This window comes from Homo sapiens, chromosome 8 (genome assembly GCF_000001405.40).
Source record: "Homo sapiens chromosome 8, GRCh38.p14 Primary Assembly".
Taxonomy (NCBI): Eukaryota; Metazoa; Chordata; class Mammalia; order Primates; family Hominidae; genus Homo; species Homo sapiens.
In genome coordinates this window covers 21,687,557-21,702,478 of record NC_000008.11, presented here as the reverse complement: position 1 = coordinate 21,702,478, position 14,922 = coordinate 21,687,557, and the positions used below count along the sequence as shown (strand labels likewise).

At 53.5% G+C, this 14,922-nt stretch overlaps 1 protein-coding gene across 7 annotated transcripts in view, besides 1 other annotated feature; it reads left to right on the top strand.

Moving 5' to 3' along the window:
* GFRA2 (GDNF family receptor alpha 2) overlaps positions 1-12,081 on the top strand; it is a 121,948-nt gene extending 109,867 nt beyond the window's left edge. For all 7 annotated transcript variants that reach the window (XM_047421687.1, XM_006716327.4, XM_011544484.3 and 4 more), the window contains 2 exons: positions 7,962-8,015; positions 9,079-12,081. In XM_047421687.1, the coding sequence (XP_047277643.1) occupies positions 7,962-8,015; positions 9,079-9,201 (177 nt within the window). In that variant the 3' untranslated portion in view covers positions 9,202-12,081. The remainder of the gene's footprint in view (positions 1-7,961; positions 8,016-9,078) is intronic.
* Positions 9,160-9,660: an enhancer, noted in NCBI's record as "H3K4me1 hESC enhancer chr8:21550331-21550831 (GRCh37/hg19 assembly coordinates)". NCBI's record gives its function as "activates a minimal SCP1, AML or CMV promoter by ChIP-STARR-seq in primed H9 embryonic stem cells {active_cell/tissue: H9 hESC(primed)}" and the evidence as "EXISTENCE:reporter gene assay evidence [ECO:0000049][PMID:30033119]".

The window sequence follows — 14,922 nt, the reverse complement described above, 5'->3', positions numbered from 1 at the left end:
GGCAGCAGGCTCCTAGGGTCAACAGTGCACCTCCACAGTGCCAGGATGCAGGCTTGACCAGGGACTCAGCCTGGCGGGGTTTCAAGTCCCTCCTGGGCACCCATTGCAGAAGTGCATGTGCCTGTTCTGGTTATGGAAGTCCTCCCCTTCTCTTTCTGCTTCCTTCCCCCTCCCTTGTGGGCTCCCCTGCTCAGGAGCAGCTGACCTCCAAGTGCCCTCCTGGCGACTGGGTGGGGAGCTCTTCCATGTCCTGCTCCCTCCACTTAGCTCCCCTCCTGATTGGAGCTGAGGTGCTGTTGTCACCCTTGGGCAGCTCCTAATGACACTGGGCATGCTTGAGTGGCTGCAAGCAGGGGGCTTGGGGTCCTGCTCTGCAGACAACTGCTCAATTTCATGCTAGAGCGGCGGGCAGCTCAGCCAGTCGGGGCTGTGCCATCTGTCAGGTCCTCCAGACTCTACCAGCCTCCTGCATGCACCCTTCATCCTGAGCCTCTTGGACCGGCCCATCTGGGGAGAGGCTGACTTGGCAGGATGCTGGCAACCTTCCCAGGACTCCCACTGTGGTTCCTTGTGGTCATAAGGTCCAAAGCCGTGGCTTTGGGAACCCCACCCAGCCCCCTTCACCATCAGCTCTGATGATTCTGAGGCCCATTTAATTCTTTTTCTTCTGCAGTTTGCCGAGCCATCAGTTGCTTGGTTTCTTGTAGCCCCAGCCTGGTTTTGTGCAGTCTCACCATCGGGGGCCTGCTCAAATCTTGGTTTGATCTCAGTGGAGATATGGGTGATCTGTATGTGACATGATACATGCGAAAGTGCTTGGTCAATGGAGGAATGCTGCACGAATGTTAGGCGTTACAAATCCGGGGGCTGGGGAGGCTGCCTGGCAGGTGGCTGGAGGCCTACAGACTAAGTCAGTCTGGGCAGGACAGCTGAGAGAGCCTCCCAGGAGGAAAGGAGGAGAAATAGACCCTCCAAAGGGGTCCAACCTCTACCACTCTCCAGGCTTCTTCTCAGAGAAATGGAAGAGGAAGGGCCTCTGATTCAGTTTTAATTACAATGTTTTTATTTTTTATTTTTTATTTTTTGAGACGGAGTCTCGCAGTCTCGCCCAGGCTGGAGTGCAGTGGCGCGATCTCGGCTCACTGCAAGCTCCACCTCCTGGGTTCACGCCATTCTCCTGCCTCAGCCTCCCGAGTAGCTGGGACTACAGGCACCCGCCAACATGCCCAGCTAATATTTTTTATTTTTAGTAGAGACGGGGTTTCACCGCGTTAGCCAGGATGGTCTCGATCTCCTGAGCTTGTGATCCACCCGCCTCGGCCTCCCAAAGTACTGGGATTACAGGCGTGAGCCCCCGCGCCCGGCACAATGTTTTTAATGAGCACCTGCTATCCCATGCTGGGAGCTGGAAGTGTCGAGTGAATAAGCCCTCGCCCCTGCCTTTGGCTTGCCTGGGGCTGGCATGGGTGCCTCCCCTCCTTCCCAGCCCACATCTGTCCCCTGTCTCTCAGCTCCCCTAGCTTGGACCATCTCTGATTGAGTGGCTTTGTGGTGGCCCTTGTGGGGTCGTAGGGTGTTAGGGGCACCCATAGCTATAGAAGGGAGTACCTGAGTGATCACAGGGACAGAGAGCTGAGCCTGGATGGGAGGAAGGGTGGGGGAGCCTGTACACCCTAGATACACCCTAGAGGGAGAGGCAAGGTTATTTTGCTGATCTCTGTCCTCCTCTGTCCTTCCTTCTTCCTTGGGGGAAGGCTTAGGGAACCCCAGAGATGGTAGCCAGTTGGGTCCCTACGTGGGTATCTGTATGTCAGGACTTGAAAGACCCTCCAAGATCTTCCTAAACCCAAGCCACCAGAGGCCTGGTGAAGACAGCAGCATGTCCACAGCCCCACAGCCAGTTGGCAGTCGAGAAGGGCCAGCAACCCTGCCTCCTGGCCACCTTCTGGTTCCTCCTCCTCCAAATCTGCTCCCCACAAAGGACTTTCCCACGGTGGGAGTGGGGCTGTTCAGTGGGGCTGTGGGAGTCTTGGACGCCACCACAGTAGAGCCAGGAGCCCCCTCCCAGTTGGCCCTGTGGCCGATGTCTTAGGTCCTACTCTCAGAAGTGTCTCCTTCAGGCTTTGGCCCCCTCTCTGGGCAGCCCTGCCTCCCTGGGGCTCTGTGGACCTTGGAGAGGCCTGATAGGGCCTGCAAAATGGTCTCTCCTGGGGCCTTCTGGTATATTAAATATATACCTTGTCTGAATTCCCTTGCCCTTCTCTCCATCCCACTGGGCTCTAGAGCAGGGAACCTGAGTGTCAGGTCAGTCTTGGACACCTGCAGGATGGGTGAGCTACCTGCTGGTCTGCACTTGGCCGTTCCTCTGAGTAAGACGTCTCTCCTTGTCCACTCCTCTCCACCTGGTGCGTCCTACCCTGATGTCACCTCTTGGGAATGCCTTCTCCGATTCCGTCCACACCAGGTTGCCTTCCGCCTGCTCTGGGCTCCTGCTTTGCGTGTTCATGGCCCCATCGTGATGTGTTCTCCTCTCCCCTGCTAGGCCAGGGCCCCCAGAGGCCATAGTGGCATCTCACCCTCCTGCGTCACCCTGCGTAGCTGGGTGCACAGTGCCTGGCATGGAGTGGGTGCTTTGTTCAGGTGGAAGGAGAGACCCCGGTGTCCCCAGTTCATTGGATTCATTGAAACTCCCTGCTGTCCTAGAGGATGGGCTCTGTGTGTTTCAGTGCCCGCAGCTCTCTTCCTTCTCCTAGGTGCCCTCTGTGCGCAGGACTGGGAAGCTGCAGAGGTGAAAATGCTTTTCTGTTGAAGGTGTAGGAAGGTTTGTTAGAGACTCGTGGTCTTATGATGGGGCCTGGACCAGGGCAGTGCAGTGAGGGCTGCAGGGAGACGGGCGATGGTTGGTGCTTTCCTGGCCATGGCCTGCTGTTCTCCCTGACACTCCCTTGGGGCTACTCTGGGCCCAGAATGCCAATTTGTAGGACCCCTTCAGATCAGCTGGAGTCCCACCTTTCCCAGCACCAGGGAGCCCTGCAACATACCATCTCCTTTGCTTCCCCATCTCCACCTGCCCACCTGTGATTTGGACTGCCAGTCACATCTTGGGCAAATTAAAAATGAGTTTTGAGAGACTGCCCCAAGGCCCCCCTCACTGCATGCCTGCAGCCGACTCTGCAGCCAGCGGCCACCTCTCTCTCCTCCCTCCTCCTGTCTGCTCCTGGATGGGTCTCATACCCAGCACACAGACCTGTGGACCTCAGAGCATGGGACTGAGAGACCGGTCAGTGCATTCATTCATTGACTCAACAGAAATTCTTACTGCACGTCACTACATCCCAGGCACCGAGGCTAACAAGCCTCATGGGCCGGGACCATGGTCCCGGTGCTGGAGGATTGACAGGATGAAGCTCACATGGCTATGAGGGAGAAGGTGATTGGTGCACCTGCTGCGTGCGGGACTGGTAGAGGGTGATGGGGTCCAGAAGAGGGAGAGAGTGCGTTGACTGGGAGTGGAGGCCAAGGACCCGTGGGCATAACAGTGCCTGCTGCTAGGCCTGAAAAGAATCGGGAGAATGGGTGTGGGGTTGCAGTGGGCAGGCTGCCCCAGGTGAATCAGCAGCGGAGCCGAGGCACAGAGTCAGGACAGCACAGAGTGCTGAGTGGGGGTCTGCTGTGCTGAGTGGGGGTCTACTATACTGAGTGGGGGTCTGCTGTGCTGAGTGGGGGTCTGCTGTGCCTGGTTTTACAAATGAAGTGTTACACACTTCACAACCACACCCTGTCTGCATTGTCTTCTGTCACAGGCAGCACTGAGTTGTGGTGATGGAGACAGTGTGAGAGGTGTGAGTTACTGGGGATGGTGCAGGTCAGGGAGGAAGGCCAGGAGCGCTGAGATTTAGGGGCGGGGCCAGGGCCAGAAGCAGGGAGTGCAGGAGAGCCATGGCTTCAGCCAGCAGGACAACACTAGACTAGCGCCTGGGCCAGACCAGCGAGGCTCTGGGAATGCCGGCCTGCGCTTCGGGGGTAGGCAGGAGGTGGGCAAGGAAGAGGAGGAAGACAATGATTTCCTTCTCGCTTCCTGGGCAACAGAGCATCCCTGGGAGAAAGCTATGGAAGGATGAAGCATGCCTTTCCCACTGTCCTTCTTCTTTCTGCGTCCTTCCCCCAGTGCCATCTGCAAGGGCCAGTTCTTTGATGCTTCTGGGGCACCCACAGCACAGCCCTCAGGGGTCAGCTCTTCCCACAGTCCCTGTGCTGCCTCCATGGTGGAGGATTTGCTGTTAGCAGCCTTGTGTCCTGCCATCCTTGCAGCCTAGGCCTGTGTGCTTTTGGACTGGAGCCACAGATGCCTCTAGGGGATGAGAAGCTCTGGGTAGGGATGGAGTAAGCTCCAGGCTATTTCCCTAGACCCACAGGCAGGCTTCTCTCCCCTCTGTGTATTCGTCTGCTGTGAAGGTGGTTGTATTAGTCTGTTCTCACGCTGCTAATAAAGACATACCTGAGACTGGGTAATTCATAAAGGAAAGAGGTTTAGTGGACTCACAGTTCCACATGGCCGGGGAGGCCTCACAATCATGGCAGAAGATGAAGAGCAAAGGGACGTCTTACATGGTGACTGGGAAAGAGAGAGTGTGTGCAGGGGAATTCCCATCTATAAAACCATCAGATCTCATGGGACTTACTCACTACCACGAGAACAGCATGGAAGAGACCCACGCCCATGATTCAGTTATCTCCCACTGGTTCCCTCCCACAACACATGGGAATCATAGGAGCTACAATTCAAGATGAGATTTGGGTGGAGACACAGCCAAACCATATCAGTGGTTATGTGCGAGTTTATTTCTCTATTAGAGTATGAGCCCCTGGAGGGCAGGGAGGCACTGAATTTGAGACACTGGTGGTTTTGGCATCAGAGGTGGTCTCTCTTTCTCTCTGCCCCTCCCGCCACTAGGTGCCACCTTCAGGAAAGGTCAGCTGCTGGGCAACACTCCCACCCAAGGGCCCTGTTGCCCCTGGCAGAGACCACACCTTGGGGCAGATGTCCCTTGGGATGGCCCAGGGAGGTGTTTCACTGTCCCCTGATAATCAGCATCAGATGAGAGGGTACAGTGGTTGTCCTCAGCCCTCTTGCCTCCCCCTTTATTCTCTCCCCTGCCCTCTGTTGCCTCCTTCCTCTATTTCTTCCCTCTGTCTTCTGTTCCTCTGTCCCCTCCCCTCCTGCTATCTTTCTCCCTCAGCTTCCTCCCCTTACCATGCCCTCCCCTCCCCTTTCCGTTTGTCCCCTCTCCCTCTCCTCTGTCCCCTCCCCTATCCTCTGTCCCTTCCCCTCTCCCTCTGTCCCCTCCCCCTTCTCTCCCCTCCCCTCTCCTCTGTCCCTTCCCCTTTCCTCTGTCCCATCTACCCTCCTCGGTCCCCTTCCCTCTCCTCTGTCTCCTCCCCTCTCCTCTGTCCCTTCATCTCTCCCTCTGTCCCCTCTCTCTTCTCTCCCCTGCCCTCTCCTTTGTCCCTTCCCCTTTCCTCTGTCCCCTCCCCCTTCCTCTGTCCCCTTCCCTCTACTATGTCCCCTCTCCTCTCACTCTGTCCCCTCCCCCTCTTCCTCTTTCCTGTTTCCATTTCTCTGCTTCTCCCTTCACCTGGTTTCCTCTCTTCCTTCCACCCCTTTCTTCACTCTCCTCTTCTCTGTCATTTTTCCTGTGTAATACTTGCCAGTGTCCCCTCCACTCTATCCTATTTAAGAGGAACTTGTCAAGTTCTGCTCACTCCGAGGAGCAAAGTCCAGTTGCAGGCCCCCTTTGCTCTCTGGAGCGTCGGCCTTTAGATCCTCTCTCTCCACACCTGGCCAAGCTCCCAGGCCAGGGAAAATGCACTTGGTGTGTGCTGGTTGCTTTGCCAGCTGCTCTGCATGGGCTGACCTCGGGTGTAACCCTGCAGAGTGTCTAGGTCCGGGGCTCCCCTGAGAGTGGCACCCACAGCCACAGCACATTGTGCAGGCCCCACCCTGGGGCCCTTCTTGTCGGTTGTTTTCTCAAGCCTTATTTTGTTAAGCAGTAGACTATTATCCAAACAATTTTATGCGTACCTCCAATATACAAATAAGCTAAGACTCCAATATACAAAACAGCTAAGACTCCAATATACAAAACAAATAAAAATGGAGCTGTTATGGTGGATGGGGGTGAGGATCTTGAGTGCAGGGAGCTTCTGCCTCTGTGATTCCCCATGGGCTCCACTGGTTTAGTGAGGAAAGGGGAGGGGACAGAGGAGAGGGGAGAGGACAGAGGGAGAGGGAGAGGGGAGGGGAGAAAGAGGGAAAGGGGACAGAGGGAGAGGGGACAGAGGGAGAGGGGAGGGGACAGGAAAGGAGGAGGGGACAGAGGAGGGGGAGGGGAGAGAGGGGGGAGGGGACACAGGAGATGGGGAGGGGACAAAGGAGAGGGCTCCCAATGGTTTAGTGAGCTCTGTTGGGGGTAGGGATGTAGGGATAAGACATGGACTCCCAGAAAGGGCGGGGACTGGCCTGCCACACCTGAAACAATGAGAGTAGGAAGTGACGCTGGGTGTCCGTAGGTGTCAGGCCACAGGCACAGACTCCAACAAGCCATAGGATGTCACAAGTAGGGACTGAGGTGACTGAGCAAGGATTGGCCAAGGGACTCGGGAGGACAGATGCGAGGCCATTATGACAGCACAGCCTCTGAGGGGGTGGGCGTGTTCTTTTTCCCTGACACCCTTCCCCGTGGCCTCACAGTCTTAGCTGGAACAGCACCAAGTCCTGGGGAGTGGAGTCCAGGCCTTGGGTCTGGAAGAGTTGTCGAGCACGTGCCCTTCTGCAGAGGGCAACAGCTGGGGAGTTGGCTGGGCATCACCTTGGCACCTGGGGACACTCCTGGTTCCATTCTCGCTGTGCTAATCATCACCGTGGTCCTATCTCCACCATTGGCAGTGACTCTACTCTTGGCCAGCGTCTCCATGTGACAGCTGGGGTCTTGTTTAGCTGACCAGATGCCCTGGGTGGTAGATTGCCTGTGATGTCCAAGGGGTTATTGATACTTCTGGCCGAGGGCAGTGATTGCGGCATAATTTCTTGGGCTTCCCAGTTGCTTTTGGTGGCCAGAACTTCCCTGGAAGTGCCCTGGGAACAAGCCATTTGAATCCTGGATGGAAGCGCTGCATCCCCAGCTGGTTCCCATGGATCTCCATTACAGTGATGATAACAGAGGGCCGTTCATCATGTGCGCCCTCTGGCCCTGCATCCAGGTGGCCACACCAGGGTAGACAATCTTGGAATCATTACCAAGGCAGCCCTTCTCGTCCCTCACCTTGCCCACAGTGTTCCCAGGTGTGCACATCCGTGTAGGACAGAAATGGGCTGGTGCAGTTGCCAGATATCCACCTAATGGACCAGTGGCAGACATCACTAATCAATCATGCCTCTCTTCCCCTCAAGCCCAGATGAATGCTCATGATCTTTTTATATAGAGCCCTCCATCAGCCATGGCAAATTAACAGGAGTTGGCTCTTGGAGGCTGTTTATGATCTGTGACATTCATTCATTCATTCATGGATGCAGGCATCTAGTGAAACATTTGTTGAGTTGTTGTTATGAACCAGACACTGCTCAGTGTGAGGAAAAGAAGACATGGTCCCTGCCCAAGAGTTGCGCTGAGTATATGGACAGACATGCGAATGGCTGATGACTATATAATGCCGCTAGTTGGGAGCAGAGTTAGAACTCTGTTCTCCAGGAGCCAGAGGAGTCGGGTCCTAATTGCTGAGGGTGTCAGAGAAGGGCAGAAGCCTTTTGTGCTGGGTGGAATTGAGCTACCCTCTTCACCGTGTGCGCTGGCTGTGCTTAGCGGAGCCAACAGTGCATGGCGGGGCCTCATCTAAGTCTCTGGACAAAGCCCAGCCAGGAACAGCCTGGTGACTCGTCCTGACTGGCACCTTCTCTCTCGCAGGAGCAGGGGCTGAAGGCCAACAACTCCAAAGAGTTAAGCATGTGCTTCACAGAGGTGAGTTGGGGGCAGAGTGGGGATGGGTGCAGAAGGCTGGGCCGGTGGGGGGCGGCATTTCCCCGGCGAGCCTCAGATCCAGCGCCCTCAAATCTCATCGCATGGGCTGGGCCAGCTGAGCTTCTGGACCAGGGTGGGCACTTACTCTGCTGGGGTGGGGTGGGGGAGTGCGAAGGCTGCATCCAGGGCCCCTGGCTCTCTCCTTGGGGAGAGACAAATGGCTGCTCTGAGCAGAGGCCCTCCCATGCCTTCCTTACTCTCTTAAGACAGTTGTGTCGACCACCTGCTCGGCACTGTTGCTGTGATATTTAGGAGGCACAGAAGTGGAAACAGACACAGTTCTTCCCTTGAAGAAACCCCCACTATAGGAAATATATATATATATAAAAATAAATAAATATATATATAAATATATATATATCTCATATATATGACGTATATATAAATATATATATCTCATGTATATGACGTATATATATATATGACTTATAGACCCAAGACAGTAACTTAGATGAGAAGAAAAGGCAGTGTGAGACCTCACAGAAGAAAGAGAAACTCAGACAAAGATGTTCAGGGAGGGCTTCATGGAGGAGTGGGGATTGGAAGAAATTGAGAAACAGGGCGAATGTGGGCTCCCTTGTCTCCCCTCCCCTCCCCTTCCCTTCCTCTCTCCTTCCCCTCTCCTTCCTCTCTCCTCTCCTTCTTCTTCTCTCCTCCTTCTTCAGCTCTTTATACCATCTGCCTCCTCACTGGGACGCAGGTCCTCAGCCCTGATGCAGGGAGGAGTAGCCTGTTATCCTGGTGACCACTGCCCTCCTCTCCAAACCCCAGGGCTTGTGACCAGAAGGGACAGAGCATTCCCTTCTGCTCCTGCCTGGGCCAGCTCCGGGAGAGTCAGCGCTCCCTTCAGAGTGCAAAGGAGGGTCCCTGTGGGTGGAAGAGAGGACAGGGGCTTGAGGTGTCCAGTTCCTGAGTCCGTTTCTCTGCCGGGTCCCAGGCCTCCTGACTGTTTTCTTTGTTTTCATTCTCTTTGTTCCTGATTCTTCTCCTGCTGCGGACTCAGCTCACGACAAATATCATCCCAGGGAGTAACAAGGTGATCAAACCTAACTCAGGCCCCAGCAGAGCCAGACCGTCGGCTGCCTTGACCGTGCTGTCTGTCCTGATGCTGAAACTGGCCTTGTAGGCTGTGGGAACCGAGTCAGAATATTTTTGAAAGCTACGCAGACAAGAACAGCCGCCTGACGAAATGGAAACACACACAGACACACACACACCTTGCAAAAAAAAAATTGTTTTTCCCACCTTGTCGCTGAACCTGTCTCCTCCCAGGTTTCTTCTCTGGAGAAGTTTTTGTAAACCAAACAGACAAGCAGGCAGGCAGCCTGAGAGCTGGCCCAGGGGTCCCCTGGCAGGGGAAACTCTGGTGCCGGGGAGGGCACGAGGCTCTAGAAATGCCCTTCACTTTCTCCTGGTGTTTTTCTCTCTGGACCCTTCTGAAGCAGAGACCGGACAAGAGCCTGCAGCGGAAGGGACTCTGGGCTGTGCCTGAGGCTGGCTGGGGGCAGGACAACACAGCTGCTTCCCCAGGCTGCCCACTCTGGGGACCCGCTGGGGGCTGGCAGAGGGCATCGGTCAGCGGGGCAGCGGGGCTGGCCATGAGGGTCCACCTTCAGCCCTTTGGCTTCAAGGATGGAGATGGTTTTGCCCTCCCTCTCTGCCCTCGGGTGGGGCTGGTGGGTCTGCAGCTGGTGTGGGAACTTCCCCACGGATGGCGGTGGAGGGGGTTCGCACCGTGCTGGGCTCCCCCTGACTGTAGCACGGAGTGTTGGGGCTGGGGGCCAGCTCCAGGAGGGCTTGAGAGCTCAGCCTGCCTGGGAGAGCCCTTGTGGCGAGGCATTAAAACTTGGGCACCAGCTTCTTTCTCGGTGGCAGAAATTTTGAAGTCAGAGAGAAACGGTCCTTTGTTGGCTTCTTTGCTTTCTCGTGGGTCCTTTGGCAGGCCTCCCTTTGGGGAGAGGGAGGGGAGAGACCACAGCCGGGTGTGTGTCTGCAGCACCGTGGGCCCTCAAGCTTTCCTGCTGTCTTCTCCCTCCTCCTCCTTTCCCCTTTCTCTTTCCTCATTTCCTAGACGTACGTCAACTGTATGTACATACCGGGGCTCCTCTCCTAACATATATGTATATACACATCCATATACATATATTGTGTGGTTTCCCCTTTCTTTCCTTTTTTTAAGCAACAAAACTATGGAAATAATACCCCAACAGATGAGCGAAAATGTATTATTGTAAAGTTTATTTTTTTTAATACTGTTGTCTATAATGGGGAAAAAGGACATTGGCCCCGCAGTGCCCTGCCCCAGTCAGCCTGGCTGGGCTCTGGTGGGGGCTCCTGATCCGCATCCAAGCTTAACCAAGGCTCCAATAAACGTGCTAGGAAGCAAGCTGCCTCTGCCTCGGTCCCGTGGGGTTTTGCCCCCATTTTGTTCTTGGTCCAGTGTTACCTGCGTAAGTGGAGCTCCCAGTGGGCTGGGGAAATGTGTGTCCGTGTGTGTGCCTGTGTGCATGTGTGTGCATCCATGTGTCTCACCCATGTGTCCACATTGTGTGTAGATGGAGCTCTCTTAGGAGCTGGTTTGACACTGGGGGCGGGATCTGAGGGTCCACGCTGTGCTGAGCCTGGTGGGCTGTTCTGTTCCCTCTTTGCTCACTTCTCCAGTTGGCGCAAATGCCTGTGGCTCCCAGGCTGGAAGAGAATGCAGTGGACGTGGACGTGGTGGGGAGCCACAGCTTGGCATCACACGTTGGGAATGTTTTATTGTCAGGCTGTCTGGGTGGCCCTGTTAGTCTTACATAGAGCAAAGTGGTATGTCCCTCTGGGACTCCTGGCTTATTTGAGATGTGTGATTGTGAGTGCAGTGACCTGGCCTTTTGGGTCCCACCAGAGAAGAAGGACATGACTGTGCATGTTCTGGGGTCATGGTCTGAAAGCATAAGTATTTTTTGGGTCTCCCTCTATTCCTTCCTTTCCTGTTTCTCCATTTGCTACCCAGGCCCCACTTGGACACTAGGCCTGCCATAGTCTCCAAGAGAGATTCTCCCCAGAGAGGACCAGGAGAATGCCTGCTGGCCAAGTGTGTGTGTGTCCATGTATGTGAGCATGTGTACATGTGTGTGCGGTCGTGTGCAGGCTCGCACATGTTCACGTGCACGTGTGAATATATACCCATGGCAGGAGGGAGAATGGAAGACTGGTAGGCGAGAAGATGTTTCTACTGTCAGCCTGGCCTTCAGGGCTGCATGTGAGCCCATCCCATTTCAACTGGACAATAGGATGCAGTTTTCCCATCTCCCAATCGCAGGTCCCCTCAATGGCTTTTGCTTCTGGTTGTATATGTGTGAGCAGCATCCGTTCACAGCGTTTATCACTGTGGTGTATTGCCTTCCAGCCTCTGCATGGAAGGGGTACAGTGAGCCAGCCAGGTCTCTGTCCAGCCATTGCGGGTAGACGTGGTCATGGCATCCACTTAGGAATCCGTGTTCTTTGCAAACAGCAAAGACCATTTAACTTAAAAAGTACTTTACTGGAAGGCTATGGGAGAAGGTGGCTCACGGAATTTGTGGGAGGTGGGGGGACCAGGGGAGGCGAGGGCAGGGACTGGAGGGCATCTGAGGGGCTGGAAGGCAGGATGTACAGGGTCAGCATTCTGCTGCCAACCATTGCCCATCTGGCTGAACTGGGCCTTGTGCCTGCCCTCTGCCATACTTGAGTGTGAGAGAGAGGATATATATGTCATGTCTGGTATCCCTAATAGGAGGTAAGCCCTTAGGCTACATCATGGGGGAGAGAAAATTTCCCAAGAGGAAACTGAGGTGCCATTATGAAGGAGGAGTGGATACTAGCTAGCTTTACTCTGCCCTCAAATGTCTCCCTATCCAAGTATCACATGGCTGAAATTTTACCATTAGGTATTCATTCCTTTGGTTGAGATGATTCCTATTTGTGATTCTCTCAAAATATGCAAATCGAACTAGAAGAATAAATTGTTGCTATCTTAATGTTAGTTAATTTAATGGTGTGAATGAATTCTAGTAACATTAAGACATTTGAGTCTAGACATTGAAATTGGGGTTGAGGGACCAAAAACAGGAAGTGAATCATGGAAAGTTTGGTAGGGACCACCAGAGATAGATTTTTTTTTTTTTTTGAGAGAGTCACACTCTCACCCAGGTTGGAGTGCAGTGGTGCGATCTCGGCTCACTGCAGCCTCTGTCTCCTAGGTTCGAGCGATTCTCGTGCCTCAGCCTCCCAAGTAGCTGGGATTACAGGTGTGTGCCACTATGCTTGGCTAATTTTTTTATTTTTTTTTGTATTTTTAGTATAGAGACAAGGTTTCGCCACGTTGGCCCGGCTGGTCTCGAACTCCTGACCTCAAGTAATCTGCCTGCCTTGGCCTCCCAAAGTGCTGGGATTATAGGCGTGAGCCCCCAAGCTCAGCCACCAGAGACTGATTTCTAGATTTTCTTAGAGTTGCTGTGGGAGACTGCAGACACATGCAATCCAGGGCCCTGTGCCTTTACCCCCTAGTCAGCAAAGTGTATAAAATTAGCTTTTTTTTGCCACCAGCCCCCTGAGGATTCCTGATCAGGGGCATGCCTCTATCTGCAAGTCTGGCTCACTCCGTTTTCTAGGCTCTGATACCTTGTCAAGTGTGAAGTCATATAGGTGGCCAATTCAGAAGCTCAGGATTGAGTGAGCAGTGCCGCAGGTCCCACGTTGACCCACGGTGGTCCTCACAGCAGGGCGCCTACCTGGTATCAAGACCAAACACAGGGTCGTCACCTTAGTTCCTGGCACCCCAGGCCCTGCCTTTGCTATCGGCTTGGCACACAGGTTTCCCAGAACGGGGCTCAGCCCTGCATTTGCTGGTCCTGCCTTGACGGGGATGCTTAGGCTGAGGAGGTGCCCTGCTGTTTCCCACAGACCTTCCTGATGGTGGTCCTAGGCCTGCCAGGATGGACATCTTTGGCCAATCTGGACTTTCGCCCATGACTCGCCTGCTCACTGAGGAGCCCACCGGGTCTCTGGTTTAGCCTCCCAGTGTCGGCTGCCTGCTGGTTCCTGCCTCTGAGGGTCTCATAGCCCATCTGCTATGGCTTCATGCCAAAGGGGCTTGTGTGTGTGTGTGTGTGTGCGTGTGTGTGTGTGTGTGTGCGTGTGTGTGTGTGTGCGCACACACCCATGGCTTCACTTCTGCCAAAGGGGCTTTGTGTGAATGTGTTTGTGTGCATGCACCGATGGCTTCACTTCATGCTGAAGGGGCGTGTGTGTGTGTGTGTGTGTGTGTGTGTGTGCGTGTGCATCCATACATATGCACCTGTCTCTAGTTCCCAGCCACAGACTGTCGAATGCCTAAGATGAAGACTTTCCTTTACTCATGAGGATTGAAGCCCCAGTGTTCCCTGCCAGCTGGAGAAATTCTTTACCAGCATTTTCTGATCTGTGAAGTGAGTTGAAATTGGGCTGCCCCTCCCAAGGATGCTGAGGCTGGTCACTTACTGCATATTTTAAAAAATTTGTGTATTTATTTAAATATTTTTATTATTATTTTTTGAGACAGGGTCTCATTCTTTTGCCCAGGCTGGAGTGTGGTGGTGTGATCATAGCTCACTGCAACCTCAGGCTCCTGGGTTCAAGTGATCCTCTCACCCTAGACTCCTAAGTAGTTGGAACTACAGGTGTGTGCCACCACACCCTATTCATTTTATTATTTGGTAGAGATGGAATCCCACTATGTTGCCCAGGCTGATCCTAATTGTCTGGCCTCAAGGGATCCCCTGCTTCAGTCTCCCAAAGTCTGAAATTACAGGTGTGACCCACCCATGCTCCTGGCCCATACTGTGTTAATACAAGTAAACAGATTCATCGCCTGTTTGTTGCCCATTTTTTTAGAGTCTTAGTAGGGGTAGATAATCTTTTTTTTTTTTTTTTTTTTTTTTTTTTTGGCTGGAGTGCAGTGGTGCGATCTTGCCTCACTGCAACCTCTGCCTCCCAGGTTCAAGCGATTCTCCTGCCTCAGCCTCCCAAGTAGCTGGGATTACAGGCACCTGCCACCACACCCAGCTAATTTTTGTAAATTTTGTTTTTTTAGTAGAGATGGGGTTTCGGCATGTTGGCCAGGCTGGTCTTGAACTCCTGACCTCAGGTGATCCACCCACCTCTGCTCTCAAAGCGCTGGGATTACAGGCATGAGCCACCGTGACTGGCCCATTCATCTTTTAAAAATGGATTAAATTTTTTAGGAAAATCCAAAGTCATTTAGAAGCCAAACTGGTAAATAAGGTTGATGACATTCTCTGTGGTGGGTTTACATGGTGGAATGGCTGCCTTCTAGTCATTTACGGTGACTTTCAGGCAATCTTGTTCAATCTTGGTTGCCTCACCTACAAAATTGTATTGGATGATTCAAGTACTTTTCACCTCTAAACGAGCTCTGGAAGAGAGGAGACAGACTGAGACAGAGATGGACAGAGGCTGCTGAGGCTGACTAAGCAGTCAGCTGGGTTTTTCCGGCCCAGCACATCCCCTCCCCTGCAAGGAGTACCTCCAACGTCATGAGCGATGGGGGTGATCCCAGCCTGCCGAGGTGACCACATTGAATCTTTAAGGTCTGATGTGTGTTCTAAAAACTCAGCAGTATGGCTTCATCACTCTACCTCCTACATTCAAGCAAGTGAGTAAATAGAAAGGGCTCTGAAAACCTCACAAAGATGTTGTTTACACAATCAAGGCCATGCAGAGTGTCAATTAACCAGACATATTTGCCACATTCCTCTTTTAGTGTGAAGTGGAGTTTTTGTGCTGTACCTTCCAGAGCGGAAAAATGGTATCAAACATTTTAGGA